The 22,000-nt window shown below is 39.4% G+C and overlaps 2 long non-coding RNA genes across 2 annotated transcripts in view; one reads left to right on the top strand and one right to left on the bottom strand.

The window, feature by feature from the left end:
* Positions 10 to 21,264, top strand: METTL14-DT (METTL14 divergent transcript). The gene is made up of 7 exons (NR_125930.1): positions 10 to 46; positions 884 to 943; positions 4,768 to 4,862; positions 7,213 to 7,307; positions 8,007 to 8,061; positions 11,758 to 11,852; positions 20,152 to 21,264. It is a non-coding gene; the product is annotated as an METTL14 divergent transcript (long non-coding RNA).
* Positions 5,546 to 22,000, bottom strand: part of LOC124900768 (uncharacterized) — a 30,836-nt gene continuing 14,381 nt past the window's right edge. The window contains exon 3 of the long non-coding RNA XR_007058248.1: positions 5,546 to 5,621. This is a non-coding gene — a long non-coding RNA (uncharacterized LOC124900768). The remainder of the gene's footprint in view (positions 5,622 to 22,000) is intronic.

Raw genomic sequence — 22,000 nt, 5'->3', positions numbered from 1 at the left:
CCTCCTTCTGGACGCTTGCTATGTGACGCCACTTGGAAGGGACCCAGTAAGGGATCTGTTGCGCCACAGGGGTCTCCAGGGCCCTCGCAGGTTGGGGTGGTCTGAGCTAGTCTGAAGGAGGACAGTCAGCTGACTTCTCCTTTATCTCTCTTTCCCAGGATAGCAGGTTCCCTTGGTGTATTACAGTTTCTGAAGTGTTGATTCCCTTTTCAATTGATTCCACAGATGACAGTCCTGACGTTTAAAAAATTGCCAGATAACCTTTAATTTTTTTTTTTTTAACAGAACACAAACTTAAGCCAGATTGCCTAGGATTGAACCTTGGCCTCTCACTTCCTAGACGAGTGGCCTTGGCTAGTTAACCACCTTCGTGAGCCTCAGTTTTGTCATCTGTAAAATGGGAGTCATAAGTGTCTACCTCACAGAGCTGTGATTGAAAGGATAAATAGCACCTTGCACATAGCGGTGTAGAAGTGCTTGTTATTGTTAATATTTTATTTACCTTCACGCAGGTAACAGCCACAACATCTGCCCACTCTTCCCCACACCTTACTGTCCCTTGAAATGTTTCCCATTTTACTATAGTATGCATTTTTTGGCTTCTTCCCTTTAGGGAAATGAGTATGTGATAGTAAAGCGTGTCTTGGTTTATGTCCTAGGAGTCAGAAGCTAAGAGACTCCTTTTTGTGCTTGTACATTTGTCTTAACTGAAAATAACCCAAGGATAAGGAAACAAATAGCTTCCTGAAATTACTCGGATTGCGGGGGTGAGGGGTGAGGGCTGGGGGGTGGTGATTCTGTCTTCATAGGATGGCAGCAAAGGCCAAAGTCTTATTTGAGTTATTACCATTATTATTCACCACACTTGCCATCTTATTTCAAGCCTACAGTGGCGGAAGTGGAGTAAGACATCATGTTGCCTCAAGTTTAATTGGAAATCGCGGTAAGTACTTAACAAAATTAGTAATAAGTCTGTTCTTTCAGAGTAGATTTAATTTTCAGAAATAATATTAAGTCATCCAGATCAAAACCAGTTGAGTCAGGCTGGGCCAAAAGTGGGCAAGACTAGATTCTACTTAGTCATGCCCACTTTTATAGAAATAATTATAATGTATTTCCGAAGAACTAGGTCTGAAAGACAATTTTGAACAAGTAGTCCTAAACAATTCCTTGAGTAATGTCAGCACTACTTGGATACTGTAAAATATTTATGTCCATATGAGTTAAAGTGTATTTCTTTAAAAATCAGTTGTATTATCTGGCAATCATTTAAGTTGAATACTGATTTAAATTTTACCAATGGTGAGAATAGGCAATTATTCACTTAAATATCTGTTGATATTGATTGAGCATTTTATATGGCAAGCACTGTGATAGGCCCTAGAGTCTATAAAGTCTGTCAAAGATTAAAAACTAAAGTCGGTTTTTCTTTATGAGTTTACTGTCTAATGGAGGATTTTTCTTTTTCCTGATAAGTTGCTATGCAGGTTACTTGCTTGTAATCTTTGAACCCCATACTCACCTACCCTCTGCTTCGAGATGATGGCTAGGCAGGGAGTCCACAAACTACATTTCCCAGCCTTCCTTGTTAGATGGCTTCCTGTAAGACTCTGCCCACAGGAGGCACAGGCAGGAAATCAAAAGGTGGAACATGGGAAAGCTATTGTCCATTTATTTTACTCTCTGCTTCTGGCATCTAGAGCGATGACTATGTCCCTTACAAAGTCTAGAGCCAGTTGGAGCAGCCCCTCCTTTCCTTACCTTAAGAAAGTGACACCCTTAACAGTGAGTGAGTTTGCTCTTGTGCTATGATACTACTACTTCTACCTTCTGTTCCACCAGCTCAAGGACTGGTAGCCATCCTGCAGTTTAAAATTTCTGATTTAATCTTACTTCTCCCTTTTTGCTCTTCTAGCCTTCAATATCTGCTTAACTATTTCTCCATAGTGAATGGCGTCTGTTTAAAATACTTTTAATTATTTGTTTTCCTGCCTGGAACTGTACTGATGCAGATATGTACTTCCATGTAATATTTACAAAACTGTTGGAGTTGGGCAGAGGGTTGTTGCAGTTTGTACAAAGAAGGGGATATAATTTTGAAATCTCTCTCCCAACTAATGAATTTTAAAACACCAGACCACATCAGCATACTTGTAGAGAATTTTACAAGCCCATCAGTAACATCTGTTCATTATGACAACATAAAGGCCACTAGGGGGTGTGTGTGGCAGGAAGAGGGGGAAGAAATTTCGGAAGTCCTCACATAAAATCCATACTTTTTGAAGAAGCAATTTACTTCTAGGCACTTAATTTAAGGAAGTAAAGAGAGATCCACATTATAACTTATGCATCTCTCCCCAAGCTCCTGGAGACTGACTCCTCCAAACCTATACTCTACAACTCATGATGCTCCCCAACTTATGATGGGGCTATGTCCCAATAAATCCATTGTAAGTCAAAAAATCGTTAGGTGGGCCAGGCGCAGTGGCTTACGCCTGTAATCCCAGCACTTTGGGAGGCCAAGGCCAGCGAATCAACAGAGATCAGGAGGTCAGCCTGGCCAACATGGTGAAACCCCATCTCTACTAAAAATAAAAAAATTAGCCAGGCGAGGTGTTGGGCGCCTGTAATCCCAGCTACTTGGGAGGCTGAGGCAGGCGAATCGCTTGAACTGGGGACGCGGACGCTGCAGTGAGCTGAAATGGCGCCATTGCACTCCAGCCTGGGCAGCAGGAGCGAAACTGCATCTCAAAAAAAAAAAAAAAAAAAAAAATCGTAAGTGGAACTTATGTTAGTTAGGGACTGCCTGTGTAGCTAGTTGCCTATTATACATCTTACTAGAATGCCCTCCACAATCTCTTCTATGGTTTACATAGCTAGTAGCTACCGTACTAGTCAGCACATGTCTAGGTTCGAGAGTATAAATACCTAAACCACTTAGCATTTTATACAATACTTTGCTGCCTCACTGATACAGTTCGAATATAAGTCCCCGCCCAATCTTACGTTGAATTGCAATCCCCAGTTTGGAGGTGGAGGCTGGCAGTAGGTTTTTGTCTCCTCCAAAAATTCATTTTGAAACTTAATCCCCAATACAACAATATTGGGAGGTGTGGTGTATGGAAGGTGATTGAGTTATAACCGGCTCTGCCCTCATGAATGGGATTAGGTACTCTTATAAAAAGGGTTTGGCAGAGAGAGTTCCTCTTCTGCCCTTCTACCCTCTACCATGTAGAATAGCATTCCTCCCCTCTGGAGGTTGCAGCATTCAAGATGCCATCTTGAAAGCAGAAACTGGACCTTCACCAGACAACAAACCTGCTGGCAACTTGATCCTGGACTTCCCAGACTCCAAAACTGTTAGAAATACGTTTCTGTTCTCCATAAATTACCCAGTCTGTGGTATTTTATTACAGCAGCACAACTGGACTAAGACAATCTCAAACAACATGAATAAAACCTAAATTTATCATCCACTAAAAAAAATCAATTTCACTCCTCTGGCATTTCCTATTTCAGAAAATAGGGTCAATATCCACCCATTTTCCTAAACAAGAAGCATTCCACCTCTCCTTCAGCCTCCATATCTGCTCTGTGACTGTAGTTCTGCTTCTGGTTGCACCACTGACACATACCATTCTTCATTTCTATAACCACAACCTGTGGATGACATGTATTCTGATTCGTATCCTAATTGTCTTATCTTTTTCCAGTCTATCCAATTTTTCCTAGATATTTGTGGAAAATTGTAATTTTATCATTTTAAACTGTGCTCAAAATTTTTTTATATTTCCTCAATATCTAGGACAGCACTATCCAATAAAACTTTCTGTAATAATAGAAATGTCCTACTAACATTTATTTCTATACTAATCAATATGGTAGCCACCGGCCATATGTGTCTACAGAACACTTAAAATGTGGCTAGTGTATTATTATTTTAAAATAAAGATTACTGAATCTTTAATTGTAATTAATTAAATGTAATAAGTTGTATTTGGCTAGTAGCTACCATATTAGATAGCATATGTCTGGGTTCAAGGGGATAAATTCCTAAACCACTTAGCATTTTATACAATAATTTGCTACCTCACTAATAGAGTTTAAATGTATGTCCCCACCAAATCTCATGTTGAATTGTAATCCCCAATGTTGGAGGTAGGGCCTGGTGGTAGGTGTTTGGATCATGGGAGCAGATCCCTCATGAATGGCTTGGGCCATTCCCTTGGTAATAAGAACTCTCTATCTGAGTTCATTTGAGATCATGTGGTTTAAAAGTGTGTGGCACCTCCCCTTGCCCCACTCTCTGTCTCTCTTGCTCCTCCTCTGGCTATGTGACATGCCTGCTCACTCTTTGCCTTTGCCATGGTTGTACGCTTCCTGAGGCTTCCCCAGAAGCCAAGCAGATGCCAAAATCATGCTTCCTGTACAGCCTGAAGAACATAAGCCAGTTAAACCTCTTCTCTTTATATATTATTCCTTATAACAATGCAAGAATGGCCTAAAACACTCAGCCTGCTCTATTCTCCTTTATCTACCCAATCTTATAAGCACATTAAGGTTTTGTCTTTTTTCCTAAACATGGCTTTTTTTCTTGTACTTGTTGTAAATTTATAATTGAGTAAGAGAAAATTCTCCTACAATGAAGAGATGGGCTCCAAAGTGACTTTTCTAAAAATACATTTTGTAAGCAGAAAGTTTTTATCAGGCATACACATAAGATAAAATGAGTGTCAGAATCCGGTGATAAGTTCTGTTTTCTTCCAGTGCCTTGTGAAGAATGGACACTCAGTAGATGCTTATTGATGAACCTGTTGGTTGAGGATAACTCGCTAACTTTTCTGAGCTTTGTTGGAAAAACTGTGAGTACCTATGTTGGGTAGAAATTGGAAGACAGCCCCTAGCATTTTACATCATCCTTGGAGCTTTATTTATAGTCATTAAATGCAGAAGACTCCCCAGTTCATGAATTTATTGTGCTCAACAGGACAACTGCTGAGGTCTAGTGCATGTGTGGCACAAGAAAATGTTTATCAAGCCTCATATGTCAAATTAACGAACTACATAAGAAACAGAAATGAAGATTGTTTTCTCATCACTTGTCAATACATTTTTAAAGGATACTGCGATTACATAGAAATAATTTTATTTTATTTATTTATTTATTTTGAGACGGAGTTTCGCTGTTGTCGCCCAGGCTGGAGTGCAATGGCACGATATCGGCTCACTGCAACCTCCGCCTCCCAGGTTCAAGCAATTCTCCTGCCTCAGCCTCCCAAGTAGCTGGAATTACAGGCACCAGCCACCACGCCTGGCTAATTTTTATATTTTTAGTAGAGATGGGGTTTCACCACGTTGGCTAGGCTGGTCTCAAACTCCTGACCTCAGGTGATCTGCCCGCCTCAGCCTCCCAAAGTGCTGGGATTATAGGTGTGAGCCACCGCACCCAGCCATGTAAAAATAATTTTAAAGGCTTGATTTTCTGGAACGTAAAGTAAGAAGAGGTATATTTCACAGCCTGTATATCAATGTCAAATGGAAATGTGGAGAATTGAATTGGATTGAATTATTTTGGGAATTTGCACCAAACATCCCTGTTGGTTTCTTCAAAATGACAAAAACTGTAAGGAAAGTGAGAAATGACAAGGTAAATAGAATAAGATAATACAAAAATGTTACAAGTAATGTCAATACATTTAACTGCATACATGAGAAAATATTTAAAGGTTGATTAGTGTAACATGAGTTTGCTCTATTAATTGAGAAAGTTCAGTTCTGTAGTAGAGCACAGAATGAGGTGGATTAATCCCATAGGATGTGCTAAGCACAGATAATGAGTAAGCGAGTAGCTTGTGAGACATAGGTAGAATTCATAATATACTAAATATAGACTGATATATGTACTATATTATTATATTTACCATATTACTGTATTATTGTATTTATTATATTTACTATATTAAATATATTTACTATATTACTATATTATTTATAGATGGAAAGGGATGGAAAGAACCAGCCACTTATACCAGCCACTTATGGTCCTACTCTGGGCCCACATGTGCTCTACCTAAGAAATCCTTATAGTACCCATAGCTTTTTGCAGGCTGATTGACAAGTTATGGCTGTGGCCAGGCGTACTTGTCACTGTCTCTCTTTAATAGAGCAAGTGTGTATCATTGGCCCCAAGCACCTTCTGTCTGTTGACCTGGCTCAAACTTCAATCTGACCATCAGTGAAGAAGGCTGATGCCGCAGATGGAGAGAGACACAGGATGTATGAATGTAGCATAACTCAGGATTCACCTCGTGTGGTCCTTCCCACTTGAACCCTATCCTAAGTGTGAAAGTTACCCCATCGCTTTCCTCTTGCTTCAGATTATGTGCTTTAAAGTGATTTAATAAACTATGCGATTCAAACATCTTAATTTGATCTTTGAGCCTGTTTTGTGACTTCCGGGATAGCTTGCCTTGTAGTGTACTTGTAGGTCACCATTGCATCAAGGTAATTTCTCATGACAACTACAAAAAACTTAGAAAATAAGAACATAGCATTGTATAGCATAAAGGAAAGCAATCTGAAGAGGAGAAAGACAGGTAGTCACAAATTGTGTCATTAATAGACTGAAAGACCAAAAAAGTAAAGGACAAACCAAAAGACAGTGTGGAGAAGATTTTTTTCTAAATTGATTTATAGAAAAAGGAATGAGACAAGAAAGAAAGACATGGTTTGGGCAATGTATAAATGTCATTGATCCCAATTCTACTTTATTTCTGAGACCAAAATAACAGTTTCAGAGGTGACTACCACAAGGTCCAACAAGTGGACTCATCCCTGAATTTCTTCCTCCTCCTCCTTCTTTCTTCTTCCTCCTCCTCCTCTTCTTTCTTTCCTTCTTTCCTTTCCTCTTTCTCTCTCTTTCTTTTTCTTTCTTTCTTCCTTTCTTTCTCTCTCTCTTTCTCTCTATTTCTTTCTTTCTGTGTCTCTCTCTTTCTTTTTCTTTTTTTCTTTCCTTTTCTTTCTTCTTTTTTTTTTTCCTCAAAAAGAATCTCTTGCTCTGCTGCCCAGGCTGGAGTACAGTGGTGTGATCACAGCTCACTATAATCTCAAACTCCTGGGCTCAAGTAATCCTCTCACTTCAGCCTCCCAAGTAGCTAGGACAACAGGTGCACATCACCACACCCAGCTAATTTTTTATTTTATTTTTTCTAGAGACAGGGGTCTCACTATGTGATGCAGGATGATCTCAAACTCCCTGGCCTCAAGCGATCCTCCTGCCTTGGTCTCCTAAAGTGCTGGGATTACAGGTATGAGCCACTGCACCTGGCCTATCCTGAATTTTTTTAATTCATGCTACATAGCATTACAAGTTTGTAAAAAAAAAAAAAAGTTTACGACATTTTTAAAGACAGAAAAGTAATAGGCTTTAAAAATACCTATAACTAGGAAGGAAATGCATATAAAATACTACTTTCAATAAAAGTTTTATTATTTATATAAAATTACTGAAACATTCCCTGTAAATTTATTCCTATCTAAAAAAATATTAATAATGCACCTATCTTAAATATTTGTGGGATAAAAAATTTAGTAAAATGAAATATACCTTTAAAATGAAAGTAGGCCAGGCATGGTGGCTTACACCTGTAATCCCAGTACTTTGGGAGGCCGAGGCAGGTGGATCACCTGAGGTCAGGAGTTCGAGACCAGCCTGGCCAACATGGCAAAACCCCATCTCTACTAAAAATACAAAAGTTAGCTGGGGATGGTGGCGTGTACCTGTTATCCCAGCTACTCGGGAGACTGAGGCAGGAGAATTGCTTGAACCCAGGAGGTGGAGGTTGCAGTGAGCTGAAATTGTGCCACTGCACTCATTCCAGCCTGGCCAAAAGAGCAAAACTCCGTCTCAAAAAAAAAAAAAAAAAAAAAAAAAAAAAAAAGAAAAGAAAAAAAGGTAATTTATTTGTAATTTGTAATTTATCTCTTTTGTAATTTATTTTCTTTAGCAGGTCACTGTATCTCTATGCATTACAGAAAATGGCTAGTTAAAAACTTGTCAAGGTAAGTGAAATAGCTGTATGTATAAGTTGCTTGTAGGGATCTCTCTAATAAGTTACCATACTTACATAAGAAATGAAATTGTTTATCAGGCAAATACTTCTTGGCATTAACTTTGTGGTGTTTAAAGAATATGAAATTCTGTGATGTAGCTTATTCAAACTGTCTGAATACTTTAACACTGTGTTTTTAGTTTGTTTGTTTTTACAACTTAATTCTTTCCCTGAAGTTGAGTATTTTCTCCCTAAGTTAAGTTTGAAATGGTAAAAACAATCAGAAAAAGGAAGTGCATTCTATGATGAATCAAAAATAGAGCTTGCATTCAAAGACACTGAAAATATAATATCATTAAGTCCTACTTATTTTTATTAATGATATGTTTGGGATTTTAAATATTTATATCATTTTATAACCCAGAACAATAAAAGATCTGGTCTAAAAATTTACAAACTACTGTTTGTAAATGGTAAACTTTGTGCCATTAAAAATATGTTATTATAAATTAGAAAATTACTAAAATTTTTTTTTACTTTATACTAGATGACCATAAAAATGGATTTAGTTGTATACATTCTTTAGAAGTATGTCACATTATTATAGCCAATACAAATACCATAATTTTTACCTCAAAGAATTAAGTTTTGAGTGAATATGAAAGAGAATCTTTGTACATATGCTCAGGAGAAAGATAATAAAACTAATTATGGCAAACACACTAAATCTGTTTCAGATTATGAATGAGTGCATCCAAAAGTAATCACTGGAATTGCTGTTCATTGTGGGCTTCCCAGCATTCTCCTCTGGGCATTTATATCAAATAACTTATGAGTGATGCAGAATTAGTATTCACCGGTCAGACATTGATTATTTAGAATTCCCTCTGATTTGAATTACATCTACTGTTTTTTTCTCCCATCCATTTATGGGTCAAATGTACAATAAGCCAAAACATGTTGATTCTGGTGAAATTTAGCAGAGAAAAACAGCTTCACCTAGTGGCCACAGAAACTCGAAAAGCTTTACTGAAAAGAAATAAATTGGATATCTTCTCATCCTGGATATGAACTGGATTCCAACTTAACCTTCCAACTGTTTTGCTGTTTCTCTGAAGTCTGAACCTTGTGTATGGCAATACTTATCTCAAGCAAAAATATAGTTTCACATTGGTAGTACTGTATTCAGGAAAACTGGAAATTGTACTATGAAGGAGCACTTCTACCACATCCGTATCTAAGTCTACATTCACAGCTGCTGGAAACAGATATTGTATTCATACTATGGTGGGAAACACATAATGTATGTATGTATACACATGTGTGCACACATATATATGCTAGCGTATAATCTGGAAAAATTTTGCTAAGATATATAGGAAGAGAACCTTTTTATTCAGAATATTGAACAAGTAGGACTCATAGTGTAAAATTAAGAAAAATTATTTTTCTTCTACTGCCCTTTCTATGGATTTGGTTCTTCCTCTTCCCCTGAATGTAAACTTAAGCAGTCTTCTATGCATTTTGTGTTCATTCCTAAATATTAGAAATAGTTATTTGATTATTTAGCCTTTAGTCTCAGTTTAATAACCAAAATATGAGGTTAAAATTTAATTCTGGCTACAGAATTAAGGCTTCTCTCTCCTGCCGCACTTCCAGGCCAGTTGCAGGCATGATACCAGCAGTCTGGGAGGTAGAGACAAGAGGACACATCTCTGCTGCTCCCTTCTTTCCCCATGGTTATGCGCCAACTTTGGTTTCACCAGGCCTACAGTGCTTCCCAGGTTTGGAGTGTGGGGAAGGAGAAGATTTAATGGAAGCAGCTTAAGGGAAATGCTCAAACTAAACTGATACTTTCTTCATGATCTAGCATTGAAACTTTCTGGACTTGACAGATATTTAAAATTAACTCTTTTTCTCATTAACATTTTCATGGGTTCTTCCAAGATCCACATTACCCAACCTGTGGGTTCCCATGACAAGGATTAAGGCATCTCTGTTTCTTCTGGACCTTTATTTACCTGGATTCTTTCTCTAGGGACTGTTTACCCTTATGGGCCATCCTTTTGAGCATAACCTAACAAGATTCATGCTGGCTTTAAGTGAGTGGTCCACATTTGGTTCATGGGAAAACCACATAGTTTGTCCCCAGCAAACCTGGAAGTAATATTTATTTTACTGCTGGAATTAAGGAAAACCAAAAATCCTATTACAAAATGGCTCCTCTAAACATTCACATTACCCCTTTTTGTCTCTACCCCCTGAGGAACTAACCAACTCTAGCTCTTTGGATTTTCCAAATGAGAGGTCAACACATCGATGTCTCCAAGACCTTAAGTTCTTCTAGTGGTCTCTTTAAGCTTCCTCCCTTGAATTATGGTGAAAAGGGACTGCCTGCTACCCCCTCCTCTTGAGGAGAGGGGTGGTATCACAGCCTAACAATAATTTCCAAAAATTTTCTCCTCCAGCTCTAATGCTTAACCAGTTTAGACTTTCAAAGTGGATAATGTAATTTAAAGCCTTACAGCTAGTTATGCTCTACTTCTTCTATAAGTCCTGCAACCAGGTGGTCTCAATCCTCACTTGCGAATACTGCATTTACTCACCTTGTGCCCTAGCCAAAACTTCCACAACAAATTCTGTGGTGCATTTAAGTGAAAGATGTTATTTGATTGATAGAGAGATAGATAGATAGATACAGATATAGATATAGATATGTATTAGAACCATGTCAAATGGTTAACTTTTTTAAAAAGGTAAATTTTTTATATTGAGATAATTATAGATTCTCATACACTCGTAAGAAATAACACAGAAAGATCCCATGTAGCCTTTATCCAGTTTCCCCAGTGATAATATCTTGCAAAACTATAGTCCAATATCACAACCAAGATACTGGCATTGATAGATCACTTCCATCACCACAAACATCCCTCATGTTGCCCTTTTATAGCCACACTCATTTCCCTCCTGCTGCCACCCTCTCCTTTACCCATAACCACTTATCTGTTCTCTATTTTTGTAATTTTATCATTTCAAGAATACTGTAGAAATGGAATAATACAGTATGTATTTTAGGGCTTATCTTTTCTACACTCGGCATGATTCTCTGGAGATTCATCCAGGTTGTTGCATGTATCAATAGTTCATTCCTTTTTTACTGCTGAACAGTATTCCATTGTATGTATGTACCATAGTTTAACTATTTGCTCAATGAAAGACATATATTAATAGTTTCCAGTTTTTGCTGTTATGAATAAAGCTACTATAAACATTCATGTACAGGTTTTTGTATTAATGCAAGTCTTCATTTCTTTGGAAGAGATGACTGAAGTTCAATTACTGGGTTACGTGGTAGTTGCATATTTCTTTTTTAAAGAAACTGCCAAACTGTTTTTCAGAGCATCTGTATCATTTTATATTCTCACCAGCAACGTATCAATGACCTAGTTTCTCTACATCCTTTCTAGCCTTAATTGTCTTTGTTTTTTTATTTTACTTTGTTTGTTTGTTTTGAGACAGGGTCTTTCTCTGTTGCCCAGGCTGGAATTCAGTAGTGTAATCAAGGCTCACTGAAGCCTGACCTCCCGGCTGAAGTGAACTGCCCACCTCAGTGCTGGAAGTAGGGTGGGGCGTCAGCCACCAGTAGCAGGACTGTAGGCATCTGCCACCATGCCTGGCTGATTTCTCTTTTTTCTTTTTGCAGAGATGGGGTTTTACTATGTTGGAGAAGCTGGTCTCAAACTCCTGGGCTCAAGTCATCCTCCCGCCTCAGCCTCCCAAAGTGCTGAGATTACAGACGTGTGCCTGGCCTATTTTACTCGTTTTAATAGATGTAAGTTTGTTTCAATTTAGGATTTTTAAGACAGAGAGCACACTTTCAATGATTAGGAGAGACAAAGATGGAAATAAAGATTTTATTACTTACAGGTTGAGGGCTCATGACACTCCTGGTGGCCATATACGCAGAGGTCAGGGAGAGAAAGGGACCTGTGGGCCAGCACCCTTATTGGGTCCAGAGAGCTATCCAAACAAGTTTCCAGCAGGGAATTTAATTGGTGGATTTAAAGCAAGCAGGCATGAGTTCCAGGGGGCCACACTGACTGAGGTATGTATGTATGTACCATAGTTTAACTATTTGCTCAATGAAAGACATATATTAATAGTTTCCAGTTTTTGCTGTTATGAATAAAGCTACTATAAACATTCATGTACAGGTTTTTGTATTAATGCAAGTCTTCATTTCTTTGGAAGAGATGACTGAAGTTCAATTACTGGGTTACATGGTAGTTGCATATTTCTTTTTTGCACACTGACAGAGAGGTAGTCACTATGGCATGTCTGAATAGTTCGTTCCGTGTGTGAGTATCAGCAGGGCCAGTCAAGCAGCCTGCATCTAGCCACCACCTAGTGAAGTAGTCACCAGAGAGCAGTTGTATAAGGCAGATATCTGGATCCACCACATTGAGGAACTGGGGGAAGGGAGCACCAAACCGAAAACTGTGTCCAAGGTGACGGAGTCCTGCCTCTGGTGTGAGAAAGCCCAGCTTATATTTAAAGTGGATGCCAAAGCAATATAAAATTATAGGAATTCATTACCAAACTGATAGCTTGTGGTTTTAATTTGCATTTCCCCAATGAATAATGATGTTGAGCATCATTTCATGTGTTTATTTGGCATCTGTGTTACTGTGTGCATGAAATATGTCTTCATGTCTTTTGTCCATGTTCTAATTGGATTTTCTCATACTGTTGAGTTTTGAAAATTTTTTATATATTCCATATACTAGTCCTTTGTTGGATATGTGGTTTTCAAGTATTTTCTCCCAGTCCGTAGCTTACCTTTTTGCCCTCTTAACAGAGTCTTTCACAAAATGTGTTTTTTTTTTCTTTTTTTTTGAAACAGAGTCTCAGTCTGTCACCCAAGCTGGAGTGCAGTGGTGTGATCTTGGCTCACTGCAACCTCCACTTCCCGGGTTCAAGTAATTCTCCTGCTTCAGCCTTCCGAGTAGCTGGGATTACAGGCTCCCACCACCACAACTGGCTAATTTTTGTATTTTTAGAAGAGACAGGGTTTCACCATGTTGGCCAGGCTGGTCTCAAACTCCTGACTTCAGGAGATCTGCCCACCTCAGCCTCCCAAAGTGCTGGGTTTACAGGGGGAGCCACCACGCCCAGCCTCACGGAATGAGTTTTAATTTTGATGAAGTTTAGGTTTTACTTTTTGAATCATGCATTTGGTATGACATAATAGTTAACATTTTATGTGTGGAAATATGTGCATTCTCTCATTCCCTCTCCTCCCATGTCCAATCCATTGGCAGGTCCTGTCAGCACCATCTCCAAGATATAACCTAAATGTGTGTACCTTTCTCCATTTTTATAGCTATCACCAAGCTTCAAACCACCATCATCTCTCACTCAGTTGGTCTCCCTTATGTCATGTGACCTCATAACTTAAAATCTCCCAAAGGTTTCCCATTCACACTTAAAATAAAATCCAAACTCTACCGCAGTCTACAAGAACCTGCCCCATCTGGACTCACCCTGGTGCACTAACTCCCACCTCCCTCCATCTCACTGTGATGCACTAAACTACAGCTACACTCCTTTCTGTTTGTTTATATTCTCACCCAACTCAAACAACCAGCTCCCTCTCACTTTGGGTCCTTGTATATGCAGGCCCCTCCCCAATGTCTGCAGGACTAGCTTCTCCTCATTCAGGATTCAGTTCAAATGTCAACCTCCCCAAGAAGCCTTCACTCATCACCATATGTAAAGTAGCTTATCTTTCTCATCACTTTGTATTATGACTCTTTTATTTTTATATAGCACTTTATTAGCTGAAGTTATTTATTTGTTTACTCTGCATACCCCTAGTCAAATGTATGCGCACCCATATTTTTCTAGCCACATTCATTAGACCAATGCAGCAGAGAAGAAAAGCCTCAATAATTATTATGACATGGCATGTTAGGATACCAAGTAAATTGCATTTGTAAAATGTGATTTTCTGTTGGTGTTCACTTCTGCTCTACTGACATTTGGTAAGTATTATTGACTGACTGACTAACTAATGTGGTCATTAGTCTTCATAAAGAAAGGCTCTCTACAAAAATGGAGCGATGCCCTTTTTCTGGCATTTAATACGTAAGAAATTGCCTCTGATGGAAACCAGAGTTGCCTGATTACTATCAGCACAGGAGAAATGTATTAATGTGCCTTTCTAGTAACAGGTTTTTAGAAAGTCAAATATAAACAAATCTGTCTGTTTGTGTGTGTGCATGTGGTGGTGGGGAGGGAAGAGAAAAGGAGGGGGAGAGACAGAGAAATAAGAACCAAGTTTATTATACTGTATTCAGGGGGAAAAAAATTTCCCAAGGTCCTAACAGAAGAGCAAAGTGCCACTGTCAATAGCCTCAGTAGTGTTAGGGTTGCTTTTATTTATTTATTTATTTATTTATTTATTTATTTACTTACTTATTTATTTTTCCTTTTTTTTTCTTTTTCTTTTTTTCTTTTTTTTTTCTTTCCTTTTTTTTTTTTTTTTTTTTTTTTTGGACAGAGTCTCACACTGTCGCCGGGGCTGGAGTGCATTGGCGCAATCTCGATTCACTGCAACCTCTGCCTCCCAAGTTCAAGTGATTCTCCTGCCTCAGCCGCCCAAGTAGCTGGGATTACAGGTGTCTGCCACCATGCCTAGCTAATTTTTTTGTATTTTTAGTAGAGATGAAGTTTCACTATGTTGGCCAGGCTGGTCTCAAACTCCTGACCTCGTGATCCACCCACCTTGGCCTCCCAAAGTGCTGGGATTACAGGCGTGAGCCACCGCCCCTGGCCAGGATTGCTTTTATAGCCAGTCTTCAGGTGCCCACTGTAGGAACAATGTCATTTAACCCTCGGGATTATTCTGTGCCAAATCTGGATAATGACTAATATTCAACACAGATATTCTCAGCTCAGAAGAGCAATTAGCAAATTCATAAATTAAGTGCTTGCTTCCTTTTTAGTCAAATACAAACGTTTGTTAAAAGATATTATTTTGCTTTACACTTTTTCTCTCAGAAATAAACAGATGCTTGAATTCCCACAGTGCTGCTTGAGCCTCACACCATGTCATCCTGCCAGGCATCCAGATCCAGTTCTAGAGTTTCACATGATCATGAGTGTTGGTTAATAAGTCAATGTGAACTGGGAGGGGAGATTTTTCAGGAGTGCCACAGGGCTCTCCCTTTAATCACATACACTCCCTGCTTTCATTGGAAAGTGTACAATGATGTCAGAGTGCCCCAGAATGGAGCTAGTTGGAAGACTGCCATCATAGGGATGCCTTAGTGAATTAATAAGGTTTTAATTTCTGGCTTTCAACTTTGTAGATGTAAAAGTTGATTTATCAATATGTGAGAAAGGATGAATCTTTCTGAAGGTTATGTCATCACACTCACTAAGCACACAGAGAATAATGTCTAGAATCTGAGTGCCATGTTATCAAATTATACTGAGACTCTTGCAGTCACATGGGCTGATATGTAAGCATTGTCATGCCTAGTACAGACTCTCCCTGCAGATGAAATTATATGGGATGCTAAATTATAATCAGAACAATGTTTGGTGAGCCAAAACTACAACAAGGGAAGCTAATTGGATGAATTTATAAAAATATGCCTCAGCCAAAATAGCTTAATTCAGTCTCCCTTATCATAAGGATAATCTTGCCTAAAGGGACAGTAGTATTAAAGACACTAGGAATAACCTCTGTACTTTGGACAGTAGACCTGCATAGCCCCTTAGGCCTCAATGAAGTCTTATGCAAGACCAGAAGCCAATTTGCCATTTTAAGGTGATTCTCCATGTTTCCGCTCTAACTGTGCTTCACAATACTCAAGACACTGAATCAGGATGTTTCCTGGAGTGCAGGGAGCTGTCCATGGTACTGAGCAGTTCTCAGCAACCAAAAGATCCTACTGACTCCTCATCAGACTTCTTTCTCACTGGAATTTTACACCTGGGCTGTTAACACCAGGCCAGGTCAAATTCAAAGGAGAGAAAAAAGCTCATTATGAAGGGTAAAATCCAAAACACTGTGCATAAAGATATGTGTGCACAATTTTTATACATAAAGATTTCATAAAGCCAAAGCATCAGGAAATGAAAAGAGATACAGAAAGAAAAATGATGGTAAATGAGACATTAATTTACCCTTCTAATCTCTATCACAGCAAAAAGATAATTAAAAAATCTATATGAGGACCACAAAATACACAAAAATTATGTAGCAAAGCCTATAGCCTGAAAAAGTAAACATTGAAATTTATATGTCCATAAAATGTTTACAAAATTGAGTACATATTACACACCCCACCCCAAAAACATCTAAGCAAAGTAGAGAATGTAGAAATGCTACAGATTATATTCTCTGATTATGACACAACAAAACTAGAAATTACAGCATGGAAATTTAAAAGCTTTCTCTTAAATAATTCTATGTCAAAAAGAAATCCAGGCCGGGTACAGTGGCTCATGCCTGTAATTCCAGTACTTTGGGAGGCCAAGGTGGGCAGGTCACTTGAGGTCAGGAGTTCAAGACCAGCCTCGTCAACATGGCGACACCCTGTCTCTACTAAAAATACAAAAATTAGCAGGGCCTGGTGGCGCATGCCTGTAATCCCAGCTACTTAGGAGGCTGAGGCTGGAGAATTCCTTGAACCCAGAAGGTGGAGGTTGCAGTGAGCTGAGATTGCACCACTGCACTCCAGCCTAGATGACACAGCAAGACTCTGTCAAAAAAAAAAAAAAAAAGAAATCCAAATAAAATTTCCAGAATATGTGGAAAATAGTGATAATAAAAATATTACACATGTGTAATCCCAGCATTTTGAGATGCCAAGGTGGCAGGATCACTTGAGGCCAGGAGTTCACAACCAGCCTGGACAACATAGGGAGACTCCATCTCCACACACGCCAAAAAAAAATTTTAAATAGCCAGGTATAGTGGTACTTCTTGTAATCCCATCTACTTGGGAGTCTAAGGTGGGAGAATCACCCAACCTCAGGAGTTCAGGGCTTCAGAAAGCCATGATCATATCACTGCACTCCAGCCTCAGCAACAGAGCAAGATCCTATCTCAAAAAAAAAAAAAAAAAAAAATCACATGTGGGAAATAGCTATAGCACAATAAAAATAAATGTATTAAGTATGAACAACAAAAAAGCTAGTAAAGGTTGAACAACAACTATCCTTAGGAAAGTGGAAATAATGTATTAATAAATATGAAAGAAGGCTAGGCATGGTGACTCACATCTGTAATCCCAGCACTTTGGGAGGCTGAGGCAGGCAGATCACCTGAGGTCAGGAGTTCCAGACCAGCCTGGCCAACATGGTGAAATCTTGTCTCTCCTACAAATACAAAAACTAGCCAGGCTTGGTTGCGCACTCCTGTAATTCCAGCTACTTGAGAGGCTGAGGCAGGAGAATCTCTTGAACCTGGGAGGCAGAGGTTGCAGTGAGCCGAGATCATGCCACTGCACTCCAACTGGGGCAACAGAGTGACACTCCATCTCAAAATAAATAAATAAGAAAGCAGAAACTAATAAATTAGAAAACAGAAACATAGAACTAATTCATAAATCAAAGCACTATGCCTTGAAAAGAGGGAGAAAAATTGTGAATTAAGGAAGGGAAGAGATGGTTGGAGAGGAGGTGGGAGAAGGCAGAGATAATTGAAGGAGCAAAAGCATCTGGAGAAGCAAAGCCACTGAAAGATGAACAGGGCTCTGAAAGAAATGCTTGATTGCTATCTTTTCAAATGACTGCAGTTCCCAGTGACATCATTTTTCTCCTCCCTGGAAGTCTGAGGGGCAGTTCACTTATCTCCTCCCCTCCCCTACTCCTCACCCCACACTCAAAACCTGTCTATGCTCCTTTCATTCTCATATGACAGATTTCAGATGGCATTCTTATTTCCCTGATTTCTTTTTGAGATAGCTTGCATTTCCCTCCTCTATATAAAGCCACCATTTATCAAATGCCTACATGGACCAAGCAGTCCACAAGGGCTTCACAGACAGTTTTACTAAACTCATGCCAAAACTTTCAGGTTTTATACCTACCTTATAGATAAAGAAGTTGAAGCTTATAGAGTTTAAGTAATGTTTCCAAAGCCTCGTGGCTAGTAATTCAAACCTAATTTCTGCCTACTCCAAAGTCTATTATTCCTCATGATACTATACTGCCTCTCCATGGATAAAGACAGAGATCACATATTAATAAAATTTGCACAAAGTCGGCAAATTGTTGAAAGGGAAGGCTAAGATGATTAATAAGATCAAGAGCCAAATGATCTCAACAACCTGAAATAACTGGCTGACAACCAATTTGAATAACTCCCTGCGGGTGAAGTTCAAAGTACTATTTGGGGTTTTTTTTAAAGTTTGGCTGGGTGCAGTGGCTCACGCCTGTAATCCAAGCACTTAGGGAAGCCAAGGTGGGCGGATCATGAAGTCAGGAGTTGAAGACCAGCCTGGTCAACATGGTGAAACCCCGTCTCTACTAAAAATAAAAAATTAGCCGGGCATGCTGGTGGATGCCTGTAGTCCCAGCTACTCGGGAGGCTAAGGCAGGATAATCGCTTGAACCCAGGAGGTGGAGGTTGCAGGGAGCCGAGATCGCAGCACCACTGCACTCTAGCCTGGGCGACAGAGCGAGATTCCGTCTCAAAAAATAAAATAAAATAAAATAAAAAATAAAAGTTTGATATATTCAGAATCAGGGAGGTCTGTTGGGTGCAGTTCATTTGAAAAATTCCTCAGCATTTTAGTGATCTGTATGGTCCCTCTATCTGTCAGGGTCCTAGCAGGAAATTGTTGCACTCTCAAAGGATTAAGCAGAAAGAGTTTAATGAAGGGTCTCTTTCCAGGGTTAAGGGAACTGCTAGGGTTTGGATATTTGACCACTCCAAACTCATGTTGAAATGTGATCCCCATTGTTGGAGGGGGGGCCTAATGGGAGGTGTTTTGGTCCTGAGTGTGGACCTCTCACGAATGTCTTGGTGCCATCCAAGTGAGTTCTTGCTCGCTCTTTTTTTTTCTTTTTGAGATGTAGTTTCACTTTTGCTGCCTAGGTTGGAGTGTAGTGGTGCGATCTTGGCTCACTGCAACCTCCACCTCATGGGTTCAACCCATTCTCCTGTGTCAGCCTCCAGAGTAGCTGGGATTACAGGTGCCCACCACTATGCCCAGCTAATTTTTGGTATTTTTAGTAGAGACGGGGTTTCACCATGTTGGCCAGGCTGGTCTCAAACTCCTGACCTCAGGTGATCTGCCTGCCTCGGCCTCCCAAAGTGCTGGGATTACAGGTGTGAGCCACCGTGCCCACCTAGTTCTAGCTCTCTTAATTCCCACAAGAGCTGGTTGTTAACAAGAGCCTGGCACAAACCCCTCTCTCTCGCCACGTGATCTCTGCACATGCCAGCTTCCCTTCCCCTTCTGCCATGAGTGGAAACAGCCTAAAGCCCTCACCAGAAGCAAATGGTGGCACCATGCTTCTTGCACACTTTCAGAACTGTGAACCAAATAAACCTCTCTTCTTTAAAATTACTCAGCCTCTGGTATTCCTTTATAACAACACACACACACACACACACACACACACACACACACACACGCAAAAGCAGACTAAAACAGGAACTAATTAGAAATGGTGATGCACGGAGGGATTGGCACCGAGGCTCCCCAACAGGAACTGAGGCCATGGATAGAAGGACACATTCATGTTATTTTTTCCTAATGGTTAAGTAATTATTTGCTCTTACTCTCAAAATTTCTGCCAAGGCCTCCCATGGACCAAACTCAACTAGAATCTAGGAAGCAGAGAACCTGAGTGTTGCATTCAGCAGAAGTCAGCTTCCTAGGGAATCTTGCAGGAAGGGTGAGGGTAGAGAATCTGGTGGGGAAGCAAGCAAATGCCCATCACGTGCACTTTCCTCCAACAGAGCGACTCAGATGCTATAAAACTTGCTAACTCAGTCTCAGGGTCTGATCACAGTAACATACAATCCAGGTTTTAATCATCAGAAATCACAGTCCTATTGTCTTCTGCACAGACCCAAACACACTTGGAGGTCATGTTCAATATGAATACCTCACAGAGAAGGAAATTTACACACAAGAAGTACATCTGCAGAAAGCCAGCTGGCATGTCAACCATTCAAAAACTCAGGAAGTTCGGGATAAAGAAGACTCAGGAAGACAAGTATGAAGCATAATCTGCGACGTTCCATGCGGCAGACGTTAGACACATACAAGAGAGTTGTTGAAAAGTGGAATTTATCTTCATATAAACAACACTGAGCTAAATCTCAATATTTCAGATCTCTAGAACTATCCATCAATGAAATGGATTGCAAATAGAAAGAGTAATACCATGTCACTTAAGAATACAATCATGGACGATGCTGCCACCTGCTGTTGGGGGCCACTGCAGAAGAAATTCCAGAACACTGGACTGGAGAGCACCTCACTTTCCTTACAGCTCTAAGTTTCTGACTCAGTGACCTGATTCAGTACCATATACACAAAGACCCACTTACACAAATGACTGTTCTTCACACTAGGCCCATGGAGACAGGGATAAAATTCTGAATTTGCTCAGATACCTTCTCTGCTATTGACATCTAGGCATTACACAATTCATCTCTTCATACTTAACCTTTGAAGTTTGCTACTTCTCAGAGAGACTAATGAGTAGTGAGCAAATATCCTGAAGCTGAGAATGCTTCTACCTCCTCTCAAAACAACAGAATATTCATCAAAACACAGCAGTTCTGCACTTAACTTTAGGCCTTTTCTAACACCTCATTTCTTGGCAGTAACTGTGGCCAGAATAGCTCTTTCCACAGAGAAAGGACCTTTTGAAAGGATAGGGTCTCTAGATAGAAAAGCAAATGCCTCATTCCAGAAGGTCTTCAAGAAGAAAATGTTGTGGTGATAACAAACATAACTGATTATAATCTATTCTGTGAAAAAAGCTTATGAAACAGTAGATGTGTGTATCTAGTACATAAGAGCTGAATGTCAATATATATATATATATAGATATATACACACACTCAAATAAATAATAGTTATCTCTAACTAGAGAAATTCTAGTTGCCTTATATTTTCTTCTTTTTCCTTACTATATTTTCTACAATAAACATGTGTTTTTAACAAGAAAAGTCTTTTCTGGTGTGCTTTTTAATTTTCTTTGTTTAAGTGAGAGTGAGGCTACATAACTACATGGCTAGGTAGACTTTTAGAAAACTTGGCTGCTCTAGAAAATTGACATATCCTGATTTCTTCCATAGCTTGGATCTTGACCTAGAGGGAAATATAAAAATGTTGACTTGAACCTGAGGGGTGCCATTTTCACTGCTGAAGTAGTTTCATGGATCATGAATTGGAGAAATGACTTCAGCAACACGGGTGTTAAAAACAGCACAAGTGACCCACAACAGATGATGGAGAACAAAGAGCAAGCTGGGAAAAGCAGTGGCCTTTAATACAGAAAAGAAGAAGTATAGCCACAATAAATATTAGGCAGACAGCAGTTCAGCAGTTTATACTATTAAGCTGTTGTTTAGGGGAATGGTAAACCGACATGACCCTTGAGGTGTAGGTATATATAGGGAAATTCTATGTGTCCCTTGAAATAGGTGTATGACACAACTTCTGGCATCTACATGGATTTGGTCACTCTAAAGTAGCCATGAGGCTTAAGATAGTTCAGCTGTTTGGGGATAAGCTAAATCATTTGCAGTGGTCTTTCTGCAATTTGCATATCCTACAGCTATCATTGTCATTACTGAATGGCACAGAGAAAAATTCTGGTCTAAAGTGGTTCTCAAACCTGGTTGCTGGAGGGCCACCCTCAGTGATGATGATTTAATCTGTAGAAGAGTAGAACATTGATAG

The sequence above is a fragment of the Homo sapiens genome, chromosome 4 (genome assembly GCF_000001405.40).
Source record: "Homo sapiens chromosome 4, GRCh38.p14 Primary Assembly".
NCBI classification, from domain to species: Eukaryota; Metazoa; Chordata; class Mammalia; order Primates; family Hominidae; genus Homo; species Homo sapiens.
The sequence above is the reverse complement of the archived record's forward strand: the minus strand, read 5'-3'. Positions and strand labels throughout refer to the sequence as shown.